The sequence below is a fragment of the Homo sapiens genome, chromosome 15 (genome assembly GCF_000001405.40).
Source record: "Homo sapiens chromosome 15, GRCh38.p14 Primary Assembly".
Taxonomy (NCBI): domain Eukaryota; kingdom Metazoa; phylum Chordata; class Mammalia; order Primates; family Hominidae; genus Homo; species Homo sapiens.
This window is the reverse complement of record NC_000015.10, coordinates 40,054,747-40,081,897: the sequence shown is the minus strand read 5'-3', so window position 1 is coordinate 40,081,897 and position 27,151 is coordinate 40,054,747. Positions and strand designations below refer to the sequence as shown.

Genomic DNA, 27,151 nt, shown 5'->3' with positions numbered 1-27,151 from the left:
GCTGCACACAAAGGCTCCTCTGTTTCTGGCCGGGCTGGAGTCACATGCTTTCACTCTTAACCCCGGAGCTTTAAAGCTAAACACCCACCCTCTTTGGCCCCAGATGACCCTGTTTACGTCTGCTGAGCCAATTCCAAACAGCAACAGTAGTGAAAACTTCTGTCGGGAGAGACTTCTCAACTACTGGTGTAGAGAGAACAAATCTTCACTTTGTATAATGCGAGGACTTTAAGAAGTTTTGGGAAATGGCTGAGAGGAAAAAAACACAAGGAAGCCAGCAGCCTGCCCCAACTTCTCTATTTTCTAAAGTATCTCTTACCAGAGACCCCCGGTGGGGCTCGGGATAAAGCTTGCAAGAAACAGAAAATGGTGAGCAGTTTTCATGGCTGAGGGGAAGAACATTCTAGATTTTCCTGATAGCCTACTTTGTTTAACCCTTAAGGAAAGTGACATTTTCTTTTTTAAGTTTAAAAAAAAATTATTTTTCAAAGGGCTATTCTCTTTGCTTCATGTCACTGAGGATGGGAAAGAAATATTCCCTTTCCTGGGTTTGGGGAATGACCTGTGAAACTGTGGAGGCTTCTGGAGAGGAGGGCTGGGCCAATCCATTTCAAAGTTCTGGTTGGGGAAGACTTGTGTTTTTGTTTTTACCCTAAAGTTTCCTTTTTCTTTTCTTCTTCTTCTTCTTCTTCTTTTTTTTTTTTCTCTCTCCCAGTTTATGGGTAGTAGCCCATGTTAGCCGTAAAGGAAGTCAAGTTTCCTTTGATTGTTCTTGCCCTGATCAAAGTGGCAGACAGTGGAAGGGAAAATACCAGAGCCCCAAAATGATGGTAACTCTGGAGTCCCGAGATTAGGTATTTGTGAACAGTACAGATAACAGAATTGGTCAGGTGCCTGCTAGTCTCATGTCCATCCCTGAAGAAAGTAATGGAGTAGTGTAGATTAGAATCAAGCAAGTCAGTTCCACGTCCTCGGGGCTAGTGGAATTCCTTAGGCAGGGGATGACAAATAAGTTTCATCTCTAGCGATAATGAGAAACTGGCAGCCAGCTGTATTGGGAAGGTTTCTGATGCTACATCCAGGCTTAGCCCAAAAGAGTACCATGACCAAAGAGCAATGTCTACTGGGCATGGGAGGAGGAAACAACCTCACATATTTGATGTCCCTTATCTAGCACAATTTCAGAAAGTTAGACTGTCATATATGTGCAAAGATAAGTAGAAAACAGTCAGCCCCAGAAAAGAAATGGTAGACAGAATGAGAGAAGTAACTAGAGACAGTGATGCTTGCTAAACATTGTATTTAGTCCTGTATATTAGGTGAACCATTTGACAAGTTCCAGACAATGAAATATAAGCAGAAATGATGCAGATCACCTCTGGGCTAAGACAGAAAATACCCACGTGCCCTTCTTTACTTTCCTCTTTCCTTGTTCCAGTGATTGAAGAGGCCCCTTGTTCCAATAGCACAACTACAAAATGAAATAGCCTTTTTCATCCTGTGTCCTTAAGTGACTATGTGGAACCATGTCCCTGCCAACCTGGAATGAACATGCAGCAGAGAGAGAAGTCAATGTTTTTTTGTGTCCACTGAAATTTGGGGGTTGCTTTATTACTGCAGCATACCCTGGCCTATCCTGAATAATATAGTAGTCAAAGAGGAACAATTTTTTTTCTCTTTACATTTTGTGTCCATATTAGAGATTACTATTTCAAAAACTGAAAGATAAAACCTTGAAAATCAACTGTGGTATATATATGACTCACCAGTCTGAAAGATGCTATTTGACATAGAGATTACAATTATCCAAAATAGTGGCAATATATGTGAAAGTAATTTGAAAGTATAAACATATTTAAAAATATATATATATATATACATACACATATACATACACACATATGTATATTTTTTTGAGATGGGGTCTTGCTCTGTCACCCAGGCTGGAGTGCAGTGGCGCATTCTTGGCTCACTGCAACTTCTGCTTCCTGGGTTCAAGTGATTCTCCTGCCTCAGCCCCCCAAGTAGCTGGGATTACAGGCGCCTGCTATCATGCCCGGCTAATTTCTGTATTTTTAGAAGATACGGGGTTTTACCATGTTGGCCATGCTGGTCTCGAACTCCTGACCTCAAGTGATCTGCCCGCCTCGGCCTCCCAAAGTGCTGGAATTACAGGTGTGAGCCACCATGTCCAGCCCATAATACATTTTTAACATAATTTCTGGTAGTAGCACTTACGTTACCCATATTACCATCACTGCCTGAGGCCAGGGAGAATGGTGAGAAGGATCAGCTATGAAGAGGAGAAGAAAAGCCTTCAGAGTTATGAAAACAATAATGTTAGGGGACTTGGGCTGGAAAAATCTATATATAAAAGGTAGAAGAGACCTTGGCAATTTAATCATATGTCAAATAATTTCTTAGAGAAAAAGAGCTGATAACCCTCTGATCACAATTAACAAAGTATTTCCATGCCAGGATCCATTCACCAATCTATTCCAAAATGTTTGTGCAAATGGGTCAGTGTATACACTTATTAAACACCAGGCTTGCTGATCAGGTTTTTATTTTCTTTTCAACTATTGTTCTTAATTCCCATCACAAATACTGTATTTGTACTACTGAGCAATTTTGTAATTTATTTTCTGTCCTCTGCTGTTCAGTTTCCATTCCCATGTTTCAGAGCCCTTTGCAGCATTCATTGTGATTATAGCCATTTCGGGTTTTGTCCATTGTTCTCAGATTCTATCAGTCTTTGAATCTTGGATTATTTCTTTAGGAAACATTCCTAGAAGTGCAATTTCTGGGTCACAGTAAGCAACACAAATTGCTATAATACATAAGGCCCCAAACCTCAAAGACTTCACACAATAAAAGTTTATTTCTCACTCACAGAGCTGTTCAATGTTGAGTATTTGGTGGGTGGCCTTTAACATGGTGATTTAGGATCCAGGTTCCATCTAGCTTGTCACTCTGCTGTCTTCAGCGTGTACCTTGAAAAGCCACTATACACAGAGAAAGAGAGGGTGGAGGAGGCACATCTTTACCGTGTCAGCTTGGAAGCAACACACACTGCCTCCATTCATTTTTCATTAGCAAGGGCTGGTGGCATGGTGCCACACCTACGGCAAGGAGAACTGAGGAATATGGTCCCTGTCTGGGCAGCCACTTCCCTGCATCACCTGCACACTATGGAAGGAAGCATGATAAGTGGACTGCTAACCATCTCTGGATACAAGGGTATGAATTTCTCAAAAGCCTTTGATACCTGTCCCTAAATTGTCTTCCAGAAAGTTTTTATCATTTTACACTTTTGTTTACAGTATATGAGAGTCCCACCTAACACAAGGTCACCAAAATTGAATACAGTACAGTCGACCCTTGAACAATGTTGGGATTAGGGGCACTGACCACCCCCACCCCCATTAGTTGAAAATTCATATATATAACTTTTGACTCCTCCAAAACTTAACTACTAATAGCTTACTGTTGACAAAAGCCGTAGTGATAACATAGTCGATTCACACATATTGTGTGTGTTATATGTATTATATTCTGTGTTCTTACAATAAACTAGAGCAAAGAAGATGTTATTAAGAAAATCATAAGGAAGAAAACATATATTTAGTATTCATTATGTGGAAGTGGATCGTCATCAAAATCTTCATTCTCATCATCTTCACATTGAATAGGCTGAGGAGGAGGAAGAGAGGGGTAGGTCTTGCTGTCTTAGGAGTGGCAGAGGCAGTAGAGATGAAGGAGTTCGTAGAAGGGGAGGCACGGGAGGCAGGAGAGGCAGGCACACCTGGTGTAACTTTTATTGAAAAAAATCTGGGCTGAGCACCATGGCTCATGACTGTAATCCCAGCATTTTGGGAGGCCAAGGCAGGAGGATTCCTCGAGCCCAGGAGTTTGAGACTAGCCTGGGCAACATGGTGAAACCTTGTGTCTACAAAAAATATATAAAAATTAGCTGGGCATGGTGGCACGTGCCTGTAGTCCCAGCTACTCGGGAGGCTGAGGTGGGAAATCACCTGAGCCCAGGGAGGTTGAGGCTGCAGTGAGCCATGATCGTGCCACTGAATTCCAGCCTGGGTGACAGAGTGAGACCCTGTCTCAAAAAACAAAAAAACCAAAAAAAAAAAAAAAAAAAAAAAAACAACAAAAAAAAGCATGCACATAAGTGGACTCACGCAGTTCAAACCCTTGTTCAAGGGTCAACTGTATTATCATTTGAAACTTTTTTTGTTTTTTTTTTGAGACAGGTCTCACTCTGTTGCCCAGGCTGCAATGGCACAATCATAGCTCACGGCAGCTTCGACCTCTTGGGTTCAAGCCGTCTTCCCTCCTCAGGGGAGGACGTCTAGCTTATTGAGCTAAACAGAACCTGGATCCTAAATCACCACGTTTCCATCTAGTGCTGGGAATACAGCTGTGAGCCAACATGGCCAGCCTGAAACATTTTTATTTTGCTAATTTTACGAGTGAAAAGGGACTTTCTTTTTCCTTCTTTCTCCTTCCTTCCTTCTTTCCTTCCTTCCTTCCTTCCTTCCTTCCTTCCTTCCTTCCTTCCTTCCCTCCATCCCTCCCTCCCTCCCTCCCTCCCTCTTTCTCTTTCTTTTTTTTTGACACAAGGTATCACTCTGTCGCCCAGGCTGGAGCATAGTGGCACGATCATGGCTCACTGCAGCCTTGACCTCCTGAGCTCCTGGGCTCAAACAGCCCGCCCCCTTCCGCCACCCCTCCACCGCCAAGTATCTGGGACTACAGGCGTGCACCAACACGCTTGCTAATTTTATTTTATTTTTTTTTTGAGATGGAGTCTTGCTCTTTCTCCCAGGCTGGAGTGCAGCGGCGCGATCTCGGCTCACTGCAAGCTCCGCCTCCCGGGTTCACGCCATTCTCCTGCCTCAGCCTCCCGAGCACAGTAGCTGGGACTACAGGCGCCAGCCACTATGTCTGGCTAATTTTTTTTTTTTTTTTTTTTTTTTTTGTATTTTTAGTAGAGACGGGCTTTCACCGTGTGTTAGCCAGGATGGTCTCTATCTCCTGACCTCGTGATCCGCTCGCCTCGGCCTCCCAAAGTGCTGGGATTACAGGCGTGAGCCACTGTGCCCTGCGCTAATTTTTTATTTTTTATTTTTTATTTTGTAGAGACCAGCTATGTTGCTCAAACTGGTCTAGAACTCCTGGGCTCAAGCGATCCTCCCACCTCTACCTCCCCATTCGCTGGGATTACAGCCATGAGCTACAATGTCCACCCAGAATGAGACATTTCATTGTTTAACTTTCACTTTCTTATTTTCTAAATTAGTAAGAAATATTTAAATACTTAATTGCCATTGTTTCTTCTGCGAGTTGTCTCTTCCTTAGTATTTGGCTGTTTTTAACTTTTGGAATTAGTATTTTATTGTCTACGAGAATTCTTTATAAACTGCTATTTGTCTTACAATTTCACTTCGAGTCACAAATTTTTTTCAATGCAGCCAAATCAAGCCTTCCTTTGTGACTTCTGTTGCATTTATGCTTATATAACTTTTCATATAAAAATGTTCAAGAAGGCTGGACGCAGTGGAATGCACTTGTGGTCCCAGCTACTTGAGAAGCTTAGTCAGGAGGATCACCTGAGCCCAGGAGTTTAAGGCTGTAGCACACCATGATCATGCCTGTGAATAGCCACTGCACTCTGGTCTGGGCAGCATGGCAAGACCCTGTCTTGACTATATATATATATATATATTTTTTTTTTCAAGTCTTTACCTATACATTCTTCTCGTTTCTTTCTTTTTAAATTGCTTCCTTTCAAAAATAATAATTATTTAGCCTAACTAGCACGTGTGAGGTAAGGAGCTACCTTAAGTTCTTCTTCCCCAACAGGTAGCCGGCTCCACGCACTGACCGCAGCTCTGAGGCTGACACTTCCCTGAAGACCCAGAGTGTGGATCGTCAGTCAGGACTTCCATCTTGCTCCCGCAGCCCTTCTGCATGAGTGAAGTCAAGTGAGCGTGAGGCCGTTCACCACTCTCCTGGTCTTTTCCATTTCTCACTTGGTGCTCCCCTCAGTAGCAGCACATGCCTCTAAGCCCCTGTGTATTCATTCTGCCAAGAAAGTCCCAGTGCTGTAGTGCCACGCGATTGGCCGAGATGGCTAAGATACCCCAACTCACTCAATTCCCTCCTTCTCCTATCACTAGACTGCAGGGGAACCATTTTCATTCCAATGGTGTTATTTTCCTGCCCCGTGTACCTCTTTCCCTTTCAGCTTTTACCCAGGATCTTGCCAGTCTTTCTTACTGGAAATTCCCGTCCTCAACCCCCTCCCCTTTGGGAGGTAGGAAGTCATTTTTGCTGACTCATTTGTCCTCTGCCCTTCTGCTGCCCCACGTTGCTTCCCCCTTTCTCCAGAGCCACTGGAGTCTTCTCCACAAGGTTTACTTTGCGGCCTTTATGGAAACCAGCCCCTCTACTCTTTTGGGATTTGGAGTTTCAGAGCGAGTTCCTGTTGGCTCCGGGCCCACTGTTCACCTGGGCTTCTGGCTTGCTTACGGTCCTACCTATTTATCAGAGGTGACAGCCTGCTGGCAGTCCTCAGAGCCCTCGCTTGCTCTCGGCACCTCCCCTGCCTGGGCTCCCACTTTGGTGGCATTTGAGGAGCCCTTCAGCCCCCACTGCACTGTGGGAGCCCCTTTCTGGGCTGGCCAAGGCCGGAGCCCACTCCCTCAGCTTGCAGGGAGGTGTGGAGGGAGAGGCACGAGTGGGAACCGGGGCTGCGTGCGGCCTTGTGGGCCAGCTGGAGTTCCAGGTGGGCGTGGGCTTGGTGGGCCCCGCACTCGGAGCAGCCAGCCAGCCCTGCTGGCCCCGGGCAATGGGGGACTTAGCACCCAGGCCAGCGGCTGCGGAGGGTGTACTCGGTCCCCCAGCAGTGCCGGCCCACCGGTGCTGTGCTCGATTTCTCGCTGGGCCTTAGCTGCCTTCCCGCGGGGCAGGGCTCGGGACCTGCAGCCCGCCATGCCTGAGCCTCCCACCCCCTCCGTAGGCTCCTGTGCGGCCCGAGCCTCCCCGACGAATGCCGCCCCCTTCTCCACGGCGCCCAGTCCCATCGACCACCCAAGGGCTGAGGAATGCGAGCGCACGGCGCAGGACTGGTAGGCAGCTCCACCTGCAGCCCCATTGCGGGATCCACTAGGTGAAACCAGCTGGGCTCCTGAGTCTGGTGGGGACGTGGAGAGTCTTTATATCTAGCTCAGGGATTGTAAACACACCAATCAGCACCCTGTGTTTAGCTCAAGGTTTGTGAGTGCACCAATCGACACTCTGTATCTAGCTGCTCTGGTGGGGCCTTGGAGAACCTGTGTGTGGAAACTCTGTACCTAACTAATCTAATGGGGACGTGGAGAACCTTTGTATCTAGCTCAGGGATTGTAAACGCACCAATCAGCGCCCTGACGAAACAGGCCACTCGGCTCTACCAATCAGCAGGATGTGGGTGGGGCCAGATAAGAGAATAAAAGCAGGCTGCCCAAGCCAGCATTGGCAACCCGCTCGGGTCCCCTTCCAGGCTGATAGAAGCTGTGTTCTTTCGGTCTTTGCAATAAATCTTGCTATTGCTCACTCTTTGGGTCCACGCTGCGTCTATGAGCTATAAGCTATAACACTCACCGCGAAGATCTGCAGCTTCACTCCTGAGACCACGAGCCCACCGGGAGGAACAAACAACTCCAGACGCGCTGCCTTAAGAGGTATAACACTCACCGCGAAGGTCTGCAGCTTCACTCCTAAGCCAGCGAGACCACAAACCCACCAGAAGGAAAAAACTCGGAACACGTGTGAACATCAGAAGGGACAGACTTCAGACGCGCTACCTTAAGAGCTGTAACACTCACCGCGAGGGTCCGCGGCTTCATTCTTGAAGTCAGTGAAACTAAGAACCCACCAATTCCGGACACATTTAGACTTGTTTCTCAGGTCGGGGGTGGCGCACGGTTGATTTCTGGCTGCCTTTAGTGCTGATTGCGAAAGCGAAGGCTTGAGACCAGGCGTGGTGGCTCACACCTGTAATCCCAAAACACTGAGAGGCCAAGGTGGGAGGATTGCTTGAATCCAGGAGCTGGAGCCCAGCCTAGGCAACATCATGAGGCCCCGTTGCTGGAAAAAAAAAAAAAAAAAAAAAAAAGGGAAGAGTTGGAGCCCTGGGCTTGTCCCTGGGCCTGGTGGGCTCTCTAGTGGGTGGAAACAGCAGGCAAGTCTTCTTTATTCTCAAGTCCTGCGGATCTTTTTTTTTTTTTTTGAGACGGAGTCTCGCTCTGTCCCCCAGGTTGGAGTGCAGTGGCGCCATCTTGGCTCACTGGAAGCTCCGCCTCCCAGGTTCACGCTATTCTCCTGCCTCAGCCTCCCGTGTAGCTGGGATTACAGGCACCCGCCACCACGCCCGGCTAATTTTTTGTATTTTTAGTAGAGACGGGGTTTCACCGTGTTAGCCAAGATGGTCTCGATCTCCTGACAGTGATCTGCCCGCCTCGGCCTCCCAAAGTGCTGGGATTACAGGCGTGGGCCACCGCGCCCAGCCTATCACTTTTAATAGAGAAGGAAAGAGGGGCGGAGGAGCGGATGGAGGAGTGATGTTAATGGGACATGCGCACTTCCCTAGCACTGCACTAGGGTGTCAGGGTACAGTTGATGCCTTGGGAGAACTGGAAACTCCTGATTTGGGAGAGTGATGGTATTGGCTGGGAGTGATTGTCATACATTCTGAACTCTGATGCCCGTTCTGAGACCCCTGGGATGCCAGGCTCTTCCCAGGGAATAGCGTTGACAGCTAAGCTGCTTCAACAGAAAGGCCACAGAGGCGACACATTCCCGTTTGTCCCCGGCCACTAGAAAGTGTTTCCAGGAGAAGCGGGTTATGAACAACCCATCACCTTCTTTCAGATGGGGTATTGTGGGAGCCCTAATGAGAGGTGCTAATGTTCTTCCAGCCCCAGGAGCTCTCTTTATCCCTGTCTCCCTCCGGGATCCTCCGAACAGTCTGCCTCCACAGGTGGCATTGGTAGGGAGGCCCCAAGCCAGGTGGTTAGCCGACTTCCGACCCACCTTGTGCCTCGGATCCCCCACCGCTCCGCTACGGCTTGATTTCAGGATAAGCCTCAGGAATGGACCTTTTGGGTGAGGGGGAGAGGAAAGAGACCGATTTCCTCGAGAGAGGTGGGGCAGGGGAGCAGCTGAGAGAAAGCTGCGCCGTCTGGAAAGGAAGCCAGAAAGGAAGACAGAGTCTCTTTGAGCTTTTCCCACCAAGCTCACAGGAAAATTGCAAAAACATCATTGGACTGGATCAGGATGCGAAGGGAGCAGCCAGGAAGGCGCGGCCTCTTTGAAGGCTCCCGCTCCGCGCGAGGCGTGGCTCCCGGAGGGGTACACCAGCTGGAGTGAGGAACAGGGCTCAACGCCCGCCCGCCCGACAGCCACAAGGGAACGGGTTGCGTTTTGTTTTGTTCCCAGTGGTCCCCAGGGCCGAAGGGGAATATAAGGAGATGCTGTTGAGCTGGCTAGAGGGGACGGGAGGCTCGAAGCGAGGCACGCAGTCAGGCACTCCTGACGAGAAGAAGCAAGACTTACACAAGGGCAAAGGCCTCCTACTGGAGAGATGAGACTAGTGAGGCCTGGGGACAGCTCCGAGGGCTGGGGAAGGTCAGTGTTGGCTTCAGGCGGGGGTATAACTAGACCTGGCTACTTATCTTGTGGGGCTCAGTGCAAAGTGAAAATACGGGCCCCTTATTAAATTATGAAGCGTTTGCTGGGTGTGGTGGCACGTGCCTGTAATCCCAGCATTTTGGGAGGCTGAGGTAGGAGGATCATTTAAGCCCAGGAGTTCAAGACCAGCCTGGGCAACATAGTGAGAGCCTGTCTCTACAAAAAATAAAAAATTAGGTCAGGCACAGTGGCACATGCTTGTAGTCCCAGCTACTCAGGAGGCCGAGGTGGGAGGATCACTTGATCCCAGGAAGCAGAGGTTGCAGTGAGCCAAAATTGCATCACTGCACTCCAGCCTGGGTGACAGAACAAGACCCTGTCTCAAAAAAATAAAATAAAAAATTAGTGGGCGTGGTGGTGCATGCCTGTGAGTTCCAGCTGCTAGGGAGGCTGAGGTGGGAGGATAGCCTGAACCCAGGAGGTGGAGGCTGCAGTGAGCCAAGAACATGCCACAGCACTCCAGCCTGGGTGACAGAGCAAGACCCTGTCTCAAAAAAGACATATATATATTGCGGCAACAGAGTTTTAAACCAAATGCAAGGCCCTTCTAAGCATTGGGCCCTGTGCTACTGACTACCCAGGTCAAGGTGTGAGGTTACCCAGTATGAAGGGTCTCCAACCTACTTCATTAAAGGCCACCAAAAGGAAGAGTCCAGATGAAGGCCAGGGGAGAAAAAAAAATCAGACTCCTTGAGGAGTCTTTTGGTTTTAAAAAATATTGGGGAAAAATAGAGTCTCCATTAACAGCATGTTTTTAACTTTTAAACAGACCTTCACATCTCTGGAACCATATAACAAAGGTGACAATTTTATGAGCCAAGTTATGCATGGCACATTTTATGTGCCTAAACGACCTAAGTGATTTTTGTAGGTCCTTCAAGGACAATAAAAAAGTATTGTAGAGGAAAAGATTTGTATATATTTATATTTCGCCACCAAATGTCAATATTTCTTTTATAAAAATTCATCCCTCCTACCATGCCTCTTATCTGTTCAAAATGTTTGGACATTTCACTTCCCTAGTCTAGGCCAGTTTTTAATTTTAATTTTTTTAACTTTTTAAATTTTTGAGACAGGGTCTCGCTCTGTTGCCCAGGCTGGAGTGCAGCGGCGCAATCTCGGCTCATTGCAACCTTTGCCTCCCAGGCTCAAGCGACCATCCCACCTCAGCCTCTCGAGTAGCTGGGTCTACAGGCATGCACCACCATTAGCCCAGCTAATTTTTTAAATTTTTGTAAATACAGGGGTCTCCTTATATTGTCCAGGCTGGTCTTGAACTCCTGAGCTCAAGTGATCCTCCAGCCTCGGCCTCCCAAAATGTTGGGATTACAGGAGTGAGCCACCATGCCTGGCTCCAGGCCAGTTTTGTTTGTCACCTGACACTGTGTCCTCTTTCAGTTTGGAGACCACAACTCCGCAGGGTTGTTGGGTTAGTGTCCTTTGGTGGGCCACACATTTCCCCAGCCCCCCAAGCCCCAACCCACCCCACTCAGTTAGCCAGTTGGTATTATACATGTATTAGAACTTTCTCTGAGAACAGAGCTCACAAAAAAGTAAAGATCTGAGAGCTTCTGGAGGGGGACAAGGGAAACTCAGGGCAGGTGCAGAAGCTGGTGCCGGGGTAAGGGCCCCAGCTGCCATTCCTCTGCTCTCCCGTGTTTCCAGTGCCCCCTCACCCCTGTGTCAGCTTCCTCCCCGGGGAAGTGGGGTTGGGTGGGGATTACCACTGCCTACTGGGATGGGCGCCGGCTTCATCTGCAGGGATTATCAGGCCTGGTGGAGCTGGCTCCAGCAGCCACAGCCCTCAGGGCCTGACCTCCCCTGCTCTCCACCTGTGACCTCAGAGAGCAGGGGCTGTCACTCTGGGTATGTGGCCTGGTGTTTTCTCTCCTCTGTGGGGTTTTTTGGACCTCTCAGTATCTCTCTCAGAGAGATACTGACCATCCCCTAAAATTTGGAGACTGCCCAGTGGTGTGATTTGTCTTCCAGCAGTCAAGCCAAAGAAACCTTTGCTCAGCAAGACTGGGTCCATGGAGCTCCTTAGCGTTGGAGGAGCCATCAGCTCCAGATGGAGCCGTTACCTTGCCCTGAGGACGTTATGCCACAGCCCATCGCCCAGGGGAGAGGGACCCAGAGAGCCTGGGAGGAGCAGTAAACCCAAAAAGCAAGAAATGCCCTTTCCCCCAGGCAAGCCCCGCTTGCAAACCCTGACTCGAACAACTTCTTAGCAGGGACGCAGTGAGCCCTCAGGTGGTCCCTGCCACCCGGCCAATCCCCCTGCAGGGTGGAGCTGCCGAGCCAGAGCAGAGCCCAGGCCCACAAAGGTTTCTGAGAAACAGGGGAAGAAAGACCCTGTCCTCCATCTGGACACCAGAAATGAGGCTTGCTTCACCTGTTCTTCCTGCTGACCAACACCAGCCTGGCTCAGCAGCCTCCCTCTGTCCTGGAGTGGTGGGAGTGCCGGGGGCAGGGGCGTCACAGCTGCATCCCCCAGCCCAACCCTCAGCCTCCCCCTACCCCACCCCCGCTCTGCACCCAGTCTGTGGGGCCACAGAGCAGCCTCAGAGGCAGCCTGGGACAGGAAGAGGCCTGACCAGGGACAATCCCCTGGGGAGAACCAAAAGGGCCTAGGGACTGAGTGCCTGACAAGCGGCCCTGCCACACTGGCAGTGAAGGCGGTGGCAGGGAGCACAGCCGCGGTGGCAGCCGGCGCCCAGGGCAGGCCTCGTGCCCTTGTGGCCAGGGTGACTGAATCTGCCAGCTGTGGGGCCCATTCGTGCCAAGTCTGCCCTGGCTCCGTCTGGTCGTAATCGATGCTGGCGCCAGGCCAGGCCCCCTGCCAGCTCCGGTCACACTCGGCTAACGCGAGAGGCCCAGCCCATTAACTCCTTGCCAAGGCCCATTGTCTGGGTCCTTGCCCGGTGGTTTATTTACTCCAGGGCTGGCCGGGCCAGGGCTGGGAGGCGACAGCGGGGTGGACTGCGGGTGGGGCAGTGGGGTGGGGGGTGGGGAGGGTTGGGGAGGCTTAGGCCTGAGGAGGGGGCTGAGAGCAGGAGTGGGGCAGGCAGGACGGTGGTTTCCAGAGCCCAAGGGCAGGGCATGCTGTGAGGGTTTTTTGTGTTTTGTGTTTTTTTTTTGCTACATCAAAGATTCCTTGTATAGGCAGATGTACCTCCAGAGGCCCACCCAGTACCTTAGGGGTGAGAGAGGGCACTGGAGACACAAGACCTTAACTCCCCAGACAGCCGCCTTCAAAGCCCCTTAAATAATTTTTTTACATGACCTACCCTCTTGTATTTAAGTTGGCATTTGAAATTTTCCATCAGAAATTTAAATAGTTCCAAAGGATATCCTTTTTAGCATTTTATGAATATTTTTTCACTTTCTATATGCCTTTATTATATTTTATAGTCAAAAAATTCAAAGAAAAATGAATATTGATATTTTCAAATACAAATTGTATCTTTCTTTTAAATGTCCAATGGAATCTAAATGCCAGAGCAATTCTGTGTCCAACATTATCCATTAAAAAAAATAGGGGAACAAACGCTAATTAAACAGCTTAGAAGTTTACATTATTTCGTTCTCTCCAAGAACTTGTATTTCCATTTCACTCCTGTTACAGATTTTATGCTAATGTAAGGGTTTTTTTTTGTTTGTTTGTTTGTTTTTTTTTTGAGGCAGGGTTTTGCTCTGTTGCCCAGGCTGGAGTGCAGTGGTGTGATCCTGATTCACTGCAGCCTCAATCTCCTGGGCTCAGGTGATTCCCCCACCTCGGCCTTCTGAGTAGCTGGAACTACAGGCCTGCACCACCATGCCCTGCTAATTTTTGTATTTTTTGTAGAGACACAGTTTCACCATATTGCCCAGGCTGGTCTCCAATTCCTAGGCTCAAATGATCCGCCCACCTCGGCCTCCCAAAGTGTTGAGATTATAGGTGTGAGCCACAGCACCCAGCCTGTATTTATTTTTTATGCTTGAAAATCTTTTATTGGCTAGGCATGGTGGTTCATGACTGTAATCCCAGTACTTTGGGGAGGCTGAGGCAGGAGGATGGCTTGAGCCCAGGAGGTCAAGGCTGCAGTGAGCCATGATTGCACCACTGCACTCTAGCCTGACTAACAAAGGGAGAAGTTGTCTCAAAAAAAAAAAAAAAAAAAAGAAAGAAAGAAAAATCTTTGATTGATTATTGTATTAAATAAAATTTAAAGATTAAAACTTCTGGCCGGGACTGGTGGCTCACACCTGTAATCCCAACACTTTGGGAAGCCGAGGGGCAGATCACGAGGTCAAGAGGTCAAGACCATCCTGGCCAACATGGTGAAACCCTGTCTCTACTAAAAATACAAAAATTAGCTAGGCGTGATGGCACACACCTGTAGTCCCAGCTACTTGGGAGGCTGAGGCAGGAGAATCGCTTGAACCCGGGAGGTGGAGGTTGCAGAGAGCTGAAATTGCGCCTCTGCACTCCAGCCTGGGTAACAGAGCAAGACTCCTTCTCAAAAAAAAAAAAAAAAAAAAAAATTCCTCTGTTCCCAAAGCTGAGCATTAATTTTTTGGTTATGAGTTTAGTGTTAGAATAGTTTATATCCAATTGATCAGAGCAATGTAAATAATTACGAAATTTGATAAACAACTATTAAACATAAAAGGTAAATTTTTATTGGAAATGCATCTCTTAATAAAATAGTTGGGGTTGGGACAGGTTTTCTTCCCAATTAGTGTATGTATATGTGGATGACTTATTGCTAGACTCACACAAGGTTCAACATGAAGTTTACTCCCATGTTTAGTCTTTTGTAGGTTTAAACATTGAGAAACACTGTCCACATAAATAAATAAATGGAAGCCGATGAGTTTGTTATGAGGATGCCATTCAATTCTTTGAACTTCTTCCAAGTTATATGCCTAATAACATTATTATCAAAATGTTTTTTTATGATCCGCTGGCAATTTGATTAGTGCCTCTTTCAATTTTGCTGAAAGCAGAGCTGGAAACCACTTGACTTGCAGAAAGACTTGCTCCTCTGTCACTTGACCCCCAGGAGTCACTTTGTTTGATGCCTTGGAGATTTCTACCCCTAGGGCAGTGCCCCAGAGTGGGGGGTCACATGGGTGAGAGGGGCAGCTTTCTCTTGTAAAGCTGTCTTCCCCAGCAAATGGGAAAGGGGATGCCTTGTCTTGGATGCCTTTTTAGGAATATCGCTTTTAGGAAAAAGAGCATAGAAAAACTGAGGATCAGAAAATCGATTCTCCTCAAACTATCTTGATTCACAAACCCCTTTGGGCACCCCTGGGGGTATGTCACAATTTTATGAGTAAGAGACTGGAAATGTACCTGGGGGCCAGAACGTAAGTTTTGACTCCTCTGCTAGGAGTGAGCTCAAAAATGGATATGATTCAAATACATAGATGCCTGTGGCCAATATTCCGGATCTTCACAGTCCTCGGAATGCCCTGGCAGGGCTAAACTCCTTTTAGTCCAGTCCTCCTCAAGCTCAGACCTGCAACCTCTTCATTCTTACTGTGTATTGAGGGTTCCCTGAACTGAAGGAAGAAAGTGTCTGGAGGGTGGGAGAGACCGTGTGTGGCAGAGTTAGAAACATCAGTCTATCTCAGGGTCCTAGACAAGTGATCTCCACATAATCAGCAACAGATGGTCAGGCAGCACCTCCAAATATTTGTATCCTTATCAATCATATTTATGTGTGACTGCCAATCCATATGTCATGTGTATTAAGCTTTATTTTAGGTTTTTTTATTTTTTTGAGACGGAGTCTTGCTCTGTCACCCAGGCTGGGGTGTAGTGGCGCGATCTCGGCTCACTGCAACCTCTGCCTCCCGGGTTCAAGCGATGCTCATGCCTCAGCCTCCCAAGTAGCTGGGACTACAGGCACGCACCACCATGCCTGGATAATTTTTGGTAGAGACAGGATTTCACCACATTGGCCAGGCTGGTCTCGAACTCCTGACCTCAAATGATCCACCCACCTCAGCCTCCCAAAGTGCTGGGATTACAGGTGTGAGCCACCGTGCCCGGCCTGTATTCCCTATTCTTAATAGATTATCTTGTAAACCTTCTTTGTAGCCCATTTCTCTAGACTCAACAGCTTTCATTCCAGGTTGTTTTTAAAGCCCCAGTGGATGTGTGAAAGGGTGGTAATGGATGGCACTGAACCTCTGTTCTGGCCTTGGCAAAGGCATGTGCTCTGCCAGTGTTTACTAAGATTATGTGCCAGACACTGTGCTGGGTCCTAAGAATGTAAAAAGACACAATCTTTTGTTGTATCACAATGTAAGTGTAGTTAATACTACTGAACTGGACACAACAATGGTGAAGGTGGTAGATCTTATGTGTTTTTGACCAGAATTTTTTTTTTTTGAAGACACCATCTCTGCCCTTAAGGAGGTTGTGGCATAGTGGAGGAAACAGAGAATCCACTAATTCATTTACCTGGGAACTTTTAATTAATAGAGTGCCAATCATATTCTAGGCTGGTGCAGGTGCTGAGGATAAGCCTATAAGCAAACCAGGCACAATTAGTCTCTTATGGAGCTTACTGTCCATGGCCAGCAGGAAATGTGCACCTGCAGTGCCCAGTACAGAAACCACTAGCCACATGTAGTTGTTTACAATTAAATTAATTATGATTAAATACAATTTAACATAGTCTCTGCAGCCACAGTTGAAGTGCTCAGTAGCCACAGGCAGCTGGTGCCACTATAGAGGACAGCACAGCTAGAGAAGGTTTCCATCACTGCAGACAGCTCTTAGCGTGGTCAGTGTGCAGATGGATGAGCCAGATCGTCAAGTAGGGGGCCCTGCCAGTCTCTCCAGTGCCTTTGTGCCAGTTTCAAAAGGTTTTCTCTCTGGGCAGGTGCAACTTCTTGCCAAGGACGAGGCTTGTGGAGCAGGATATGGTTCTGGGCCTAGGAGAAGTCAAGGTGTAGAGAACAGGAGATGCAGATCACCACATGCTCACCAAGTCCCTGGAGTAAAGGACTCCAGACTCTGGAGTTGTCTGATCTCATCTCCCACGACACACTCCCATAGTGCACCACGTGCCCTGCTCATGCTGTTCTCTCAGCCTTCTTCCTTTTCCCATCTCTGTGCCTCCCAAATTCCCTTCAAGGCCCAGGTGAAATTCCACCCTTTTCCTCCTCAAAGCCTTCCCTGAACTGTTTATGAGGCTGATTAACATTTACTGAGCATAGCATTTGTACTACAGTATTTGTGCTATTGGTGGGAGCGTGGTGAGGCTGCAAGATGAAACAGGCCCTTAGACTTTCAATGTGGGTGGTTCTAACTCCCTGTCCTAAATTTGGGCCTTCACAGCCAAGTATATGCATCGTCAGTGCACATCCCCCAGGTGAAGACAGGCTCTAGAACTCTGCACACTTCCTCTTCCCACCCCGCGACTTCTGGCAAGTACTGCCTTACGTATCTTTGTCCCCACTTTTTTCCTCACTAAAAGATACCCAAAAAGGATTCTTTGAAGGTTTCTTGCCTCAATGATCCAACATGAGAAGTGGTGAGACCAACCCTTACCAGCTGACAATGACTTAATCATCTTCAGAGATTCTCAAAAGAAGCTGGAATGTAAATAGCCGCTCAGCTGGTATTGTTCTCAAAGAAGACTTAGATGTAGACAGTTCTCACTCTTCATATGCGTCAGAAAATCCGCTTCCTCTGGGTGAGTTTCAGAAGGGGTAAATGTTGTTGCTCAAATTCCAAAGTGATGAAGATGTGTCAACAAGATGCTTCCTGTGGAATCTCTGGCCAGCTGCCTCTTCAGCCCTGTAGACCCCCTTCTGAGCCCGGGCCCTGCCTGGAGTTAGGCTGCCATTTCCTCTCCTGTTTGCACAGATGGGGCCTTGGGCAGTCAGCCTGAGGAACTGTCCCTGTGCTAATGCTGGGGGCGCAACCCAATGAGAAGAGGACTGGCTTTGAAGTTGGGCCTGGGTTCAAATCCTGATTCTGCTACAGTCAGCCAAGTGACCCTGGGCAAATAACTGAAGACTTCTGAGCCATTGCCATGTTTGTAAAATGGATGGTAATACCTGCATCACAAGATTGTTGAGGGACCTAAATGATAATAAATCTCTAATGTATGGTTTAGGGCTAAGAGCCTGGCCCTGCCACTTACAAGCTGTGGAGTGTCAGGCAAGTTACTTAGATGTTCTATGTGTCTGTCACCTCCTCCCTAAGGGTTGAAAATAGTACAGGCCAATTTCTAGGGCCATTGTGAGGATTACTGAATGCCTGACTCATGATGAATGTTCAGTGAATATTGGCCTCCAGCAACTGGGGTAAGCAAGGTAGTTATTATAATCCCCACCCAGAGGGCCAGGGAGAGTCGCACATTTGCTGTGGGTGAAGCCTGGATGAGAACCCTGCGTCCTAGTCCTGGGCTGCAAATCAAGCCTCTGGCCACAGCCTCCTTCTGGCTGGCTCCCTGGGCCCACTTCCAGGCCCATGGAGCTGCTGAATAGGGGACAGCCCATCCCAGGAGCCAGGCTGCTGGCTTCACTGCCTTCCAGAGGGCCTGGGAAGCCTCTTCATGCCAGTCTGTGGCTTTGTCACTTGCCCCTGATGGAGTCTGCCCTCTCTGTGGGCAGTTTCCTCTCCCTACTCATGGCTGATGTTCACTTCCACGCCCAAAGGAGTGTCATTCTGCCCACTTGGCTGCTCAGGATCAGAGTGGCATGGGACAGTGCATGGAGCATTTTGGAGCCAGGGAGGAGGAAGAGGGCAGGCCTTGGCTATGCCTCTCAGCGATGCTGACAGCAGGAGGGTGGTTAATACAAAGCCAGGGCTTAGCTACAAGTCGGGAGGGCTGAGGAGACAGGAGCTAGAAGAAGTCAGGGAAAGAAGGAGACAGAGGCCAGGATTTGCACAGCTAAGAGAGACCTCCTCTCCTCTCTATTTTATAGATAAGGAAAATCATGACCATTTTGCCCAATGTTACGTCATGGTTTGTAGGAAAGATTTGGATGAGAATCTAGTCTCCGGAGTGCCTGCTCGACTTTCCTTCCAATACCCAAAGCTGCCCTCTCCTCCCACCCCGAACACTCAGTGTCTGGCAAGGCCCCTCCAACGCCAATATCACTGCCTCACTGTGGTCCATGGCCCGTGGGCCCTGGCTGGAGGAGGAGCTGGCGTGAGCAGGGGTACCCACTTGCCCAAGAGAGACCTTCAGGAGAGCCCATCATGCCCTGTGGCCTTGTGTCCCTAGACACCTCCAGAAGCCTGACACTGTTGTTCATCCTTCACCCCCAAGACTTTCACCCCCATGTAGCTCTATTCCCCTAATCTGACACAATCCCCCAGATCCTTTCACTCTGCTCTCGGGAACTTATGGTTTGTCATCAGCAAAATCTCCCCATCCACTCGACTTTCCCTTTGAACATTCCTTTCACCATCCTGTTCTACTGCAAACCTGCCTGACCCCCACACACAGCTTCCTTGCAGCCACCTCCTGTCTTGGCTCTGTTTTCTTCTTCCACATCAGTATGCCTGGAGGCAGCGAGTTGTCCTCCCTGCTTTCATGGCCACCTGTAGGTTTCTCCCCCTTCCTCCTCAGCCTAAGTCTGCATCTCCTTTGCAGCTATGCCATCAGACCAGACCATCCACCATCCCTTCTAGTATTTACCATACTCTAGGCCACTCCTGCTCATTCACAGATTTTAGTACCTGGCCCACGGTCTTCCTCTCCACCACCACTCCTCCATGCTTTTCCTAGACCTTAACATTAATTCATTCTTTTGTCCAGCACATGTTTCTGAGCACCTAATCTGTGCCAGGTATGTTCTTAGAAAAGAGTTTATAAGTGTAGACCAGAGAGAAAATGTCCCTGCCCTCAGATGCTTACATTCTGATGGCAGCAAGGATAATTAACCAATGAACCAGTCCTACGTAAAATAATGTTAGACAGAGGGGCTATGAAAGGAAAAGGCAGATGAAGGGGTAGTGGCAGGATGGGGAGCTGTTTAAGAGATGGTGGACAAGGAAGGTCATCCATGTAGATGTCCACCCAGCACCTCCCACTCTTGGTCTTTGGCCTCCTCACTCTCCACCTCTCGTTCTGCTGCCTGGGCCTCCCACTCCCATGGCCAGGGTTTTGCCTCAGCACTTCTGAACCCCCTGCTCCCTGACCACCCCTTCCTCGGCTCTCAGCTTATCTACTCTATTACCTCCATTCAATGATGTGTCCCCTTTGGGAACTCCCTGCCTTTGAACTTGTCCTTTTTCACTGCCTTCAACCCCCTTCTCCAGCTCAATTCTGTAGGCCTTGACAAGAATCACCCATTTGTGGAAGCCCTCTCCTTTCTTGCTCTTTTCCCTTCATTTGGAATCTCCTGACACAGCCTCCACCCTGCTTAAACCCAACACCCTGCACCTGCACTGAGTAGCTGAGCATTGCCGGGGAAACTCACAGTCATACTGAATAGCCGCACTTGACGCTTCTGACCACAAACTTCAAGTGGGCGCTCAGCTTGCCCAGTAATCTTACTATATTTCTCTACTAAATTCACTGCGCCACTCTCCAGATAAGTGTTTCACATCTTCTCCAACCCTCAACACCTTCCCTTAGTTTCTCGCTGTTAGTTAAAGATCTTGCTTCTTATTTTGCTGAGAAACTAAATGTCATCTGCTGGAACGTACGTGCCTCTCACCATCAGATCTCCCAAGGTGCCTGCATCTATGCCCGCTGCTACCTTTCTTCCTCACAATGGATGCATGCATGGATAGATGGATGGATGGATGGATGGACGGAAGGATAGATGGACAGACGGACAGATGGATGGATGGATGGATGGGTGGACAGACGGACGGACGGACAGACGGATGGATGGACAGACAGATGGACAGATGGATAGATGGATGGACAGATGGAGGGATGGCCTCCTCTTGCATCCCTGGCCAATCCCTTCATTTTGTGCACCATATCCCTTCACTTACTCAAGACTGCCTGAAATCACCTTTCTCCCTCCTGCACTATCCAGCTCCTTCTCTCTGCCAGACCATTCCCTTCGGCACATAACTGCGCTATGATCTCTCTCACTTTCAAAACAAACTCTTCCTTGACCCTACACCCTCTTCAGCTTCTGCTCCACTTCCTCCTCCCTTTTACGCACCCCTCCTTGAAGTGGTTGTCCCTGCTGGCTACTTCTCCGAATCTTCACCTCCATTCCCTCTTAGCCTACACCAGCCAAGTTTTTGTTTCTGTCACTCCATTGAAACTGCCCTTGTCCAAGTCACCAGTGACCTCCTACTGGCGCATCCAAAAGGTCTGTCTCCTGGTCTCACCTCCTCAATTTCTCAGCAGCGTTTGCACAGTAGGGCACTCGCTCCTCCTTGCAACGCTGTCTTTCTTTGGAGTCCAGGACTCCACACTGGTCTGGCTTCCTCCTACCCGGATGGCAGCTCTTTCTCTGGCTCCTTCGCTGGCTCCTCCTCTTCTTGATCTCTAAATGTGAGCATGGTGTGGGGACTTTTTTCTTATTTACAGTCTCTCCCGGTTAGATGGTTAGATTCCATCTAGGCCTGTGCCTTTAAATGTCCTCTAGAGGTTGGGATCTTTGAGAGGCAACATGGAAGCGAGTAGAGAAGCTTGCCGGGGTGTGAACCCCTGCTCTGCCCCTGGTGAGCATGCCCCTGGTGTGATGTTGTTGCTGTTAAATTCTCCATGTAAGATCAGATCTTACATGGGGCCTGAGACAAAGGCTTAAGCATGAGTAGTTTATTTGGGAACATGATCCCAGGGAGCAGGGGTGAGGGGGAGGAGGAATGAAACAGAGAAAGGGGGGAGTCAATATGGGAGTGTGTTAACATCTCTCTGAGTGAACACCACTCAGTCTTTCTGTGAAGCTTTATGAAACGTACTTCAGAACTCACTGGAAGAAGGGGGACAGTTATCCATTGGCTCCTCTCGAGTCATCCCATGGAATGTTAGCTCCCCTTCACTTCTGGGCGGCTCATGTGTTAATGCCAAGCAGGTTCCATGGGTGTCCCCCCATCATGGTGTTGGGCGAGAGGCATGTGGAGAGGCCCTGCCAGGCGACATTTACACGGCACTGGTCAAGACCTGTGCAAAACTGGTCACTGGGGCAATGGCTGGAACAAGAGGTGAGGCCGCGGGCATCTGAAATGGCACACAGGATACGCCCCCTATGGACAGGGATAGCTACAGCTCTCGCCTCATAGGTTACTGAGAAGACTAAATGATTTAATGTATGTGTTTGGAGGAGTGCCCAGCTCTTAGCAGTGACCATCTACATGGTGGTAACCCTGCCCTGACATCCCGTCTGCCTAGTGGACACCTCGGAGGCCTGTCATGTTCAAAACAGAACTCGTATGCCCCGTCCCTCCGCTTGTCCAACTATTCCTCCAGTCTTTTCACTGCAGTTAAATGGCCAGGATTCATCTCTCTCTCCCACCCCTCACAACCAATTATCAAACTCTAGCTTCAAAAAATACCCCAGTCTGGCCTTTTCATTAATCCTCATCACAAAGTGACCCACCCAGGCCAAGTCACTATTGCTCCTTGCCTGGCCGACTGCACTAGCTTCCCAACCATCTCCTGCCCCCACTCTCCCCTCCCTACAGTTTGTTCTCCCACAACAGCCTGAGTGAGAATGTTACTGCTGATTAAATCACCCTCTAACAGCTTCCTATTATCCTTTTTATAATTTTTTAAAATCCTTTTTTAAAAAATAACAAGGCTGGGCATAGTGGCTCACGCTTATAATCCTAGCACTTTGAGAGGCCAAGGCAGGAGGATCACTCAAGCCTAGGAGTTTGAGGCTAGCTTGGACAATATAGTGAGACCCCTGTCTCTACAAAAAAAAAAAAAACACCTTAAAAATTAGCTGGGTATGGTGGTGCATGCACCTATAGTCCCAGTTACTTAGGAGGCTGAGGTAGGAGGATCACTTGAGCCTGGGAGGTCGAGGCTGCAGTGAGCTGTGATTGTGTCACGTCACTGCACTCCAGCCTAGGCGACAGAACAAGATCCTGTCTCAAAATAAATAAATGAATAAATAAATAAATCAGCTTTATTGAGATGTAATTCACATATCATATAATTCACCCACTGAAAGTATACAATTCAATGGGCTTTTTTTTTTTTTTGTATATTTGCAGGGTTGTGCAACCATCACCACAATCAATTTTAGAACATTGTAATCATCCTTCAGAAGAAACCCAGCACCCATTATTAGTCACTCCCCATTTCCTCCCAATCTCCCCAGCCCCAGCCAACCACGAATCTGCTTTCTGTCTCTCTGGGTTTGTCTATTTTGGATATTTTGTAGAAATGGAAAAATGCAATATGTGGTTTTTCTGACCAGTTTCTTTTTCTCATTATTCTTAAGATAAACCCCAAACTCCCTGCCATGGCCTTCCAGGCTCCCCATGGTCCAGCACCCCCCCGACTCCCAGCTTTGCTGACTGCCTTCCCTGTCCCAATTCCTCCAAGGTCACTCACTGTCTTGAGCAGGCCCCTCTCCTCTCCTTCCCCTGAGGATCTTGACCCTTGCTTGTCCCTTTGCTGGAACTTTTCTTCCCAGATCTATGAATTGGATTCTGCCCAAACGTTACCTCCTCAGAGAAGATTGTCCTCTTCTCCACCCTCCTCCACCTCTCCCTCTGTCTCTTCCCCTGACTATTGGAAATGCATATGTATTTGCTGGATATGGTGGTCTGCACTTTCATATGCCACCTGCTATGTTCTGAATGCTTGTGTCCCCCACAATTCACATGTTGAAATCTTCATCCCTGAGGTGATGCTGTTTGGGAGGTGATTAGGTCATGGGGGTGGAGCCCGCACAAGGGCATTAGTGCCCTTACAAAAGAAGCACTGATAAAAATGAAGACACTCAGTCCCCAGCGACACCCTTCCACCAGGTGAGGACAGTGAGAGGTGCTGTCTATGAGCCAGGAAACAGGCTCTCACCAGACACCGAATCTGATGGCACCTCAATCTTGGATTTCCCACCCTCCAGAACTGTAAGAAATAAAGTTCTGTTGTTTCTAAGCCACACAGTCTATGGTATTCTGCAATAGCAGCCTGAAGGGACCGAGAAACAACCTCACACCCACATGCACCAACTAAACTCTCTTCCCTCAGGTTCTCCTAATAGATTATCTTCCTAGAGTCTCGTGCTCCCCCAGGAGAAAAAAACCATTTATCAGCTGTAAGGCTTACTGCTCCAAACACAAATCAAACATCATGGCCTGAAGAAACTCAATCCCCCTCATAAGCAAAGCTGCAGGCAGTGGCTGCAGCTCTGTGTGCTCCAGGCATCTGGGCTTCACCTTCTTCCTACCTCTCTTCTTTAGAGGCCTCATATTGCCTCCTTCCTTTCTCTTTAAAAATATTAGCTTATCCCAATACTTTGGGAGGTAGAGGCAGGAGGATTGCTTGAGGCCGGGAGTTAGAGAACTCCCCCCACACCCCGGGGCAACATAGCGAGACACTGTCTTCACAAAAAGTGAAAAATTAGTCGGGTGTGGTAGCACATATCTGTAGTCTCAGCTAATCAGGAGGCTGAGGCAGGAGGATCACTTGAGCCCAGGAGTTTGAGGCTGCAGAGAGCTATGATCACGCCATTGCACTCCAGCGTGGGTGACAGAGTGAGACCTTGGCTCTAATAAATAAGTAAATAAACAAATAAATAAATAAATATCAGCCTGATAGGGAAAACAGGAAACAGGCCTTTTCATACATTGCTGGTGGGGATGAAAGCAGTGCAACCTCTGTGGAGGACAATTTGCAATCTCTCTCTCAATTACAAACCCTTGAACCCATCCTACAGATGTACCTGCCCCCCTCTGAAAGGACATACATGGCACAGTCTGAGAGCAAAAGATTGAGGACCAGCCACCCAGTACTATCAATAGAAACCTGGTTTAGAACAAGGAACACTTTGCGGCTGTAAGAAAAAAATGGGGAACCTTCTCTGTGTGGATATGGGACAATCTCCAGGATGTATGAGCAAGAAAAACCATGCTTGCAGTAAACAACCTTTGGAATAATGAAGAGGAAAACTAAGAACATGTATTTACCTAAGTAAATCCTGCAAGGATATAACATTTTTTATATCAGAAATTGGGAACTGTTAGGGAAAAATTAGGAGGAAAACTTCTTACTGAGCCACTGATGTCATTTTTATATTTAAACCATATGACTGTTACATATTAAAATATAAAATTTTAAAATATATGAAACAAATGAAAATCCTATTTGGAGGAGTTCTCATTTCTGAAGATTTTAAAATCTTTCTTCCAAGAAACTGGAAGTGTTCAGTAGTCAGGGTTGGATGTAGATGGTGTCCTCCCTAAGATGTCAGCTGACAGGTGGCCTCTCGGCTCTCCCAGGACAGGGGCCTTGTTTTATTCATCTCCGTGTTCCCAACACTGTCACAATGGATGACACACAGCAGGCACTCACTAAATGTCTGTGGAATGAAATACTAAATAAATGCATTAATAGAAAGATTCCCACCTCAATAACAGAGTTATTTCAGTCTTGGTGAAGGGTCCATGCTGATATAAAATTGTCAAAATGGATGACTTGGAGCAAGGAGGAAAACAGCAATGTTGTTTAAGTCCCAGATCAGAAAGTGGCACTCCACATGGGTGCTGCCGCTCTCCCAACGGCAGATTTCCTGTACTTTTCTTGATAACGTGGGGTCTGGATAACAATAATGAGTAAATGCCAAACATAGTGTCATCACAGTGATGAAGCCACAAATAAGCCATGGTGGGCAGATCACCTGCCATGCGCCCTCTCCTCCGGAGCGCAAAGCTAATCTTTCATAGGGCTTTGCCTCCACACACCTGAGGGCAAACTGTAAATTGGCAGTGACTCCCAGCCAGAGCTCTGCGCCTGTGGCCCTGTGGCACTGCTGCGAATGGGCCAAGCACAGTCTGAGTACACAGTGGACTCCTGGCAGTGGCCCTGGGTGGTTGGCATCAGTTATACCCCGAAAGGAGCATCAAGCTGTGTGGGAGCCAAGACTGAAGCCTGTTGGGTGCCGGGCCGGCACGCTCCCTCACCTCCTCCAAACCCTGGCTGCCACCCTGCAGCTGGTCTCCGCCTGAGGTAGAGGAGTGTGGCGCAAACGGTGGCTTCTGCTGGGCCCTGCCTCTCCCTCCTCCCACACCTGACTCAGGGGCTCCTGTAGATGGGTGTCTCTGTTTCCCCTCAGGCCTCCTTTGCTCAATCGCCCTCTCTCTTCCTGCTCTGGTATGGGGAGTTGTCTCTTAGTGGGGAGTGGGGCTTTTCTGCAGACAGGACGCCACCAAAGCCCTGAGCCCCAGGCTACACAGCCTCCCAGGGAGAGTGTTGAACTGAAACATTGCCCAGAGCTGGATCTGAGAGAAGCCAGAGCCCTGGGCCCTGTGAGGCTCAAGCCTGTCAGATTCCTGCATCTCCCTCCCTCTTCCCAGACCCTGGCTCTGGACCCAGTGAGCAGCCCTCCGCCATGACCCTGTGTGCCATCCACCTGTCCCCAGGGGATGTGAGCACTTGCCCGGTAGCCCGGGGCTGGGGACATGGGCAAGCTGTTAGGATGGGTTCAGCCTCTGCTCCAGGCTAATGCTCCTGAAGGTGTGTCCCAGCCAGGAAGCTGCTGGCACTTTTTGTCTCATTGTCTCAGTGTAAGCAGTATTCGGAGGTGTCCCTGGAACACCTGGTTCAGAGGGCAGCTGGGTATTTGCCCAGGCTCTGTGGCAACCTGCCCTCTTCTGGGATAGCCAGAGGGCTGACCCTGCCAGAGTTGTAGCACCGTGGCTTCAAGGCTGTCTTGACCAGCAGAGGCCTGGCCCTGCCACATCTCACTTCCTCCTGTTCCTCCCGGTCCTTCCCAGTCACCTCTTACCCTCCACTCACCCTCTCTTTCTGGAGCCCTGCATCCTACCCCAGGGGAATGCCCAGCCCACACCCAGGCCAGTCAGCTTCTTCCAGAAGGCAGCAGAGCTGGAGCAAGCCCAGGACTGGGGGGCCTCATGGCTGATTTCCCTTCTCAGAAACCTCTCTGACCTCCCAAACTGGAATCTCTGCCTTTGGCTTGCAAGCCAGGAATCACATATGGGTCACTCAACCAGAGCACTCTTGTGGTATGTCCAGGTCAGAGGGCAGCAAGGCCCTCTCATGCCATCCCCAGCAGCTGGACAGAGGGCGAGGAGCCTCTCCTGGCGCCTCAGGCCCTGAGCCTCTCAGGTTCCCTCGAAGGGAGGGGCTCTGCAGAGCCAGCTGCAGCTGTGGGAAACCACACACCACAGCCTGCAGGTGCAAGGGGCCTGGGGGAAGGGGAGAGGATTAACTGTTTCTTGGGAGCAGGCCTTCTCCATCCAATCTATTCCCAAATGGTGGCTCCCCCAGGATGCGGGGTAACA

The 27,151-nt window shown here is 48.8% G+C and overlaps 2 long non-coding RNA genes across 5 annotated transcripts in view, besides 10 other annotated features; one reads left to right on the top strand and one right to left on the bottom strand.

Moving 5' to 3' along the window:
* The first annotated feature begins 101 nt into the window (after positions 1–101).
* On the top strand, positions 102–7,611 carry LOC105370787 (uncharacterized). The gene is made up of 3 exons (NR_188231.1): positions 102–369; positions 3,097–3,240; positions 5,878–7,611. It is a non-coding gene; the product is annotated as an uncharacterized LOC105370787 (long non-coding RNA).
* Positions 4,336–4,836: an enhancer, noted in NCBI's record as "H3K4me1 hESC enhancer chr15:40369263-40369763 (GRCh37/hg19 assembly coordinates)". NCBI's record gives its function as "activates a minimal SCP1, AML or CMV promoter by ChIP-STARR-seq in primed H9 embryonic stem cells {active_cell/tissue: H9 hESC(primed)}" and the evidence as "EXISTENCE:reporter gene assay evidence [ECO:0000049][PMID:30033119]".
* Positions 11,967–12,086: an enhancer, noted in NCBI's record as "active region_9229". NCBI's record gives its function as "activates an Ori minimal core promoter by ATAC-STARR-seq in GM12878 lymphoblastoid cells {active_cell/tissue: GM12878}" and the evidence as "EXISTENCE:reporter gene assay evidence [ECO:0000049][PMID:35858748]".
* Positions 12,217–12,276: a silencer, noted in NCBI's record as "silent region_6316". NCBI's record gives its function as "represses an Ori minimal core promoter by ATAC-STARR-seq in GM12878 lymphoblastoid cells {active_cell/tissue: GM12878}" and the evidence as "EXISTENCE:reporter gene assay evidence [ECO:0000049][PMID:35858748]".
* Positions 13,395–13,578: a silencer, noted in NCBI's record as "fragment chr15:40360521-40360704 (GRCh37/hg19 assembly coordinates)". NCBI's record gives its function as "represses an EF-1alpha promoter that drives an FKBP-Casp9 reporter gene in an ReSE screen in K562 erythroleukemia cells {active_cell/tissue: K562}" and the evidence as "EXISTENCE:reporter gene assay evidence [ECO:0000049][PMID:32094911]".
* Positions 14,389–27,151, bottom strand: part of SRP14-DT (SRP14 divergent transcript) — a 28,199-nt gene continuing 15,436 nt past the window's right edge. Inside the window, exons 3-4 of one of the 4 annotated variants that reach the window (NR_040059.1) lie at positions 17,297–17,437; positions 14,389–16,677 (exon numbers count right to left, since the gene is read on the bottom strand). This is a non-coding gene — a long non-coding RNA (SRP14 divergent transcript). Of the gene's footprint in view, positions 16,678–17,296; positions 17,438–24,897; positions 25,210–25,256; positions 25,446–27,151 lie in introns of those variants that run through there. The other 3 variants (NR_040061.1, NR_040060.1, NR_040062.1) reach the window with 3 other exon arrangements.
* Positions 17,072–17,181: an enhancer, noted in NCBI's record as "active region_9228". NCBI's record gives its function as "activates an Ori minimal core promoter by ATAC-STARR-seq in GM12878 lymphoblastoid cells {active_cell/tissue: GM12878}" and the evidence as "EXISTENCE:reporter gene assay evidence [ECO:0000049][PMID:35858748]".
* Positions 17,592–17,701: an enhancer, noted in NCBI's record as "active region_9227". NCBI's record gives its function as "activates an Ori minimal core promoter by ATAC-STARR-seq in GM12878 lymphoblastoid cells {active_cell/tissue: GM12878}" and the evidence as "EXISTENCE:reporter gene assay evidence [ECO:0000049][PMID:35858748]".
* Positions 18,548–19,383: an enhancer, noted in NCBI's record as "H3K27ac-H3K4me1 hESC enhancer chr15:40354716-40355551 (GRCh37/hg19 assembly coordinates)". NCBI's record gives its function as "activates a minimal SCP1, AML or CMV promoter by ChIP-STARR-seq in primed H9 embryonic stem cells {active_cell/tissue: H9 hESC(primed)}" and the evidence as "EXISTENCE:reporter gene assay evidence [ECO:0000049][PMID:30033119]".
* Positions 20,258–20,317: an enhancer, noted in NCBI's record as "active region_9226". NCBI's record gives its function as "activates an Ori minimal core promoter by ATAC-STARR-seq in GM12878 lymphoblastoid cells {active_cell/tissue: GM12878}" and the evidence as "EXISTENCE:reporter gene assay evidence [ECO:0000049][PMID:35858748]".
* Positions 26,489–27,068: an enhancer, noted in NCBI's record as "H3K4me1 hESC enhancer chr15:40347031-40347610 (GRCh37/hg19 assembly coordinates)". NCBI's record gives its function as "activates a minimal SCP1, AML or CMV promoter by ChIP-STARR-seq in naive H9 embryonic stem cells {active_cell/tissue: H9 hESC(naive)}" and the evidence as "EXISTENCE:reporter gene assay evidence [ECO:0000049][PMID:30033119]".
* Positions 26,737–26,936: an enhancer, noted in NCBI's record as "active region_9225". NCBI's record gives its function as "activates an Ori minimal core promoter by ATAC-STARR-seq in GM12878 lymphoblastoid cells {active_cell/tissue: GM12878}" and the evidence as "EXISTENCE:reporter gene assay evidence [ECO:0000049][PMID:35858748]".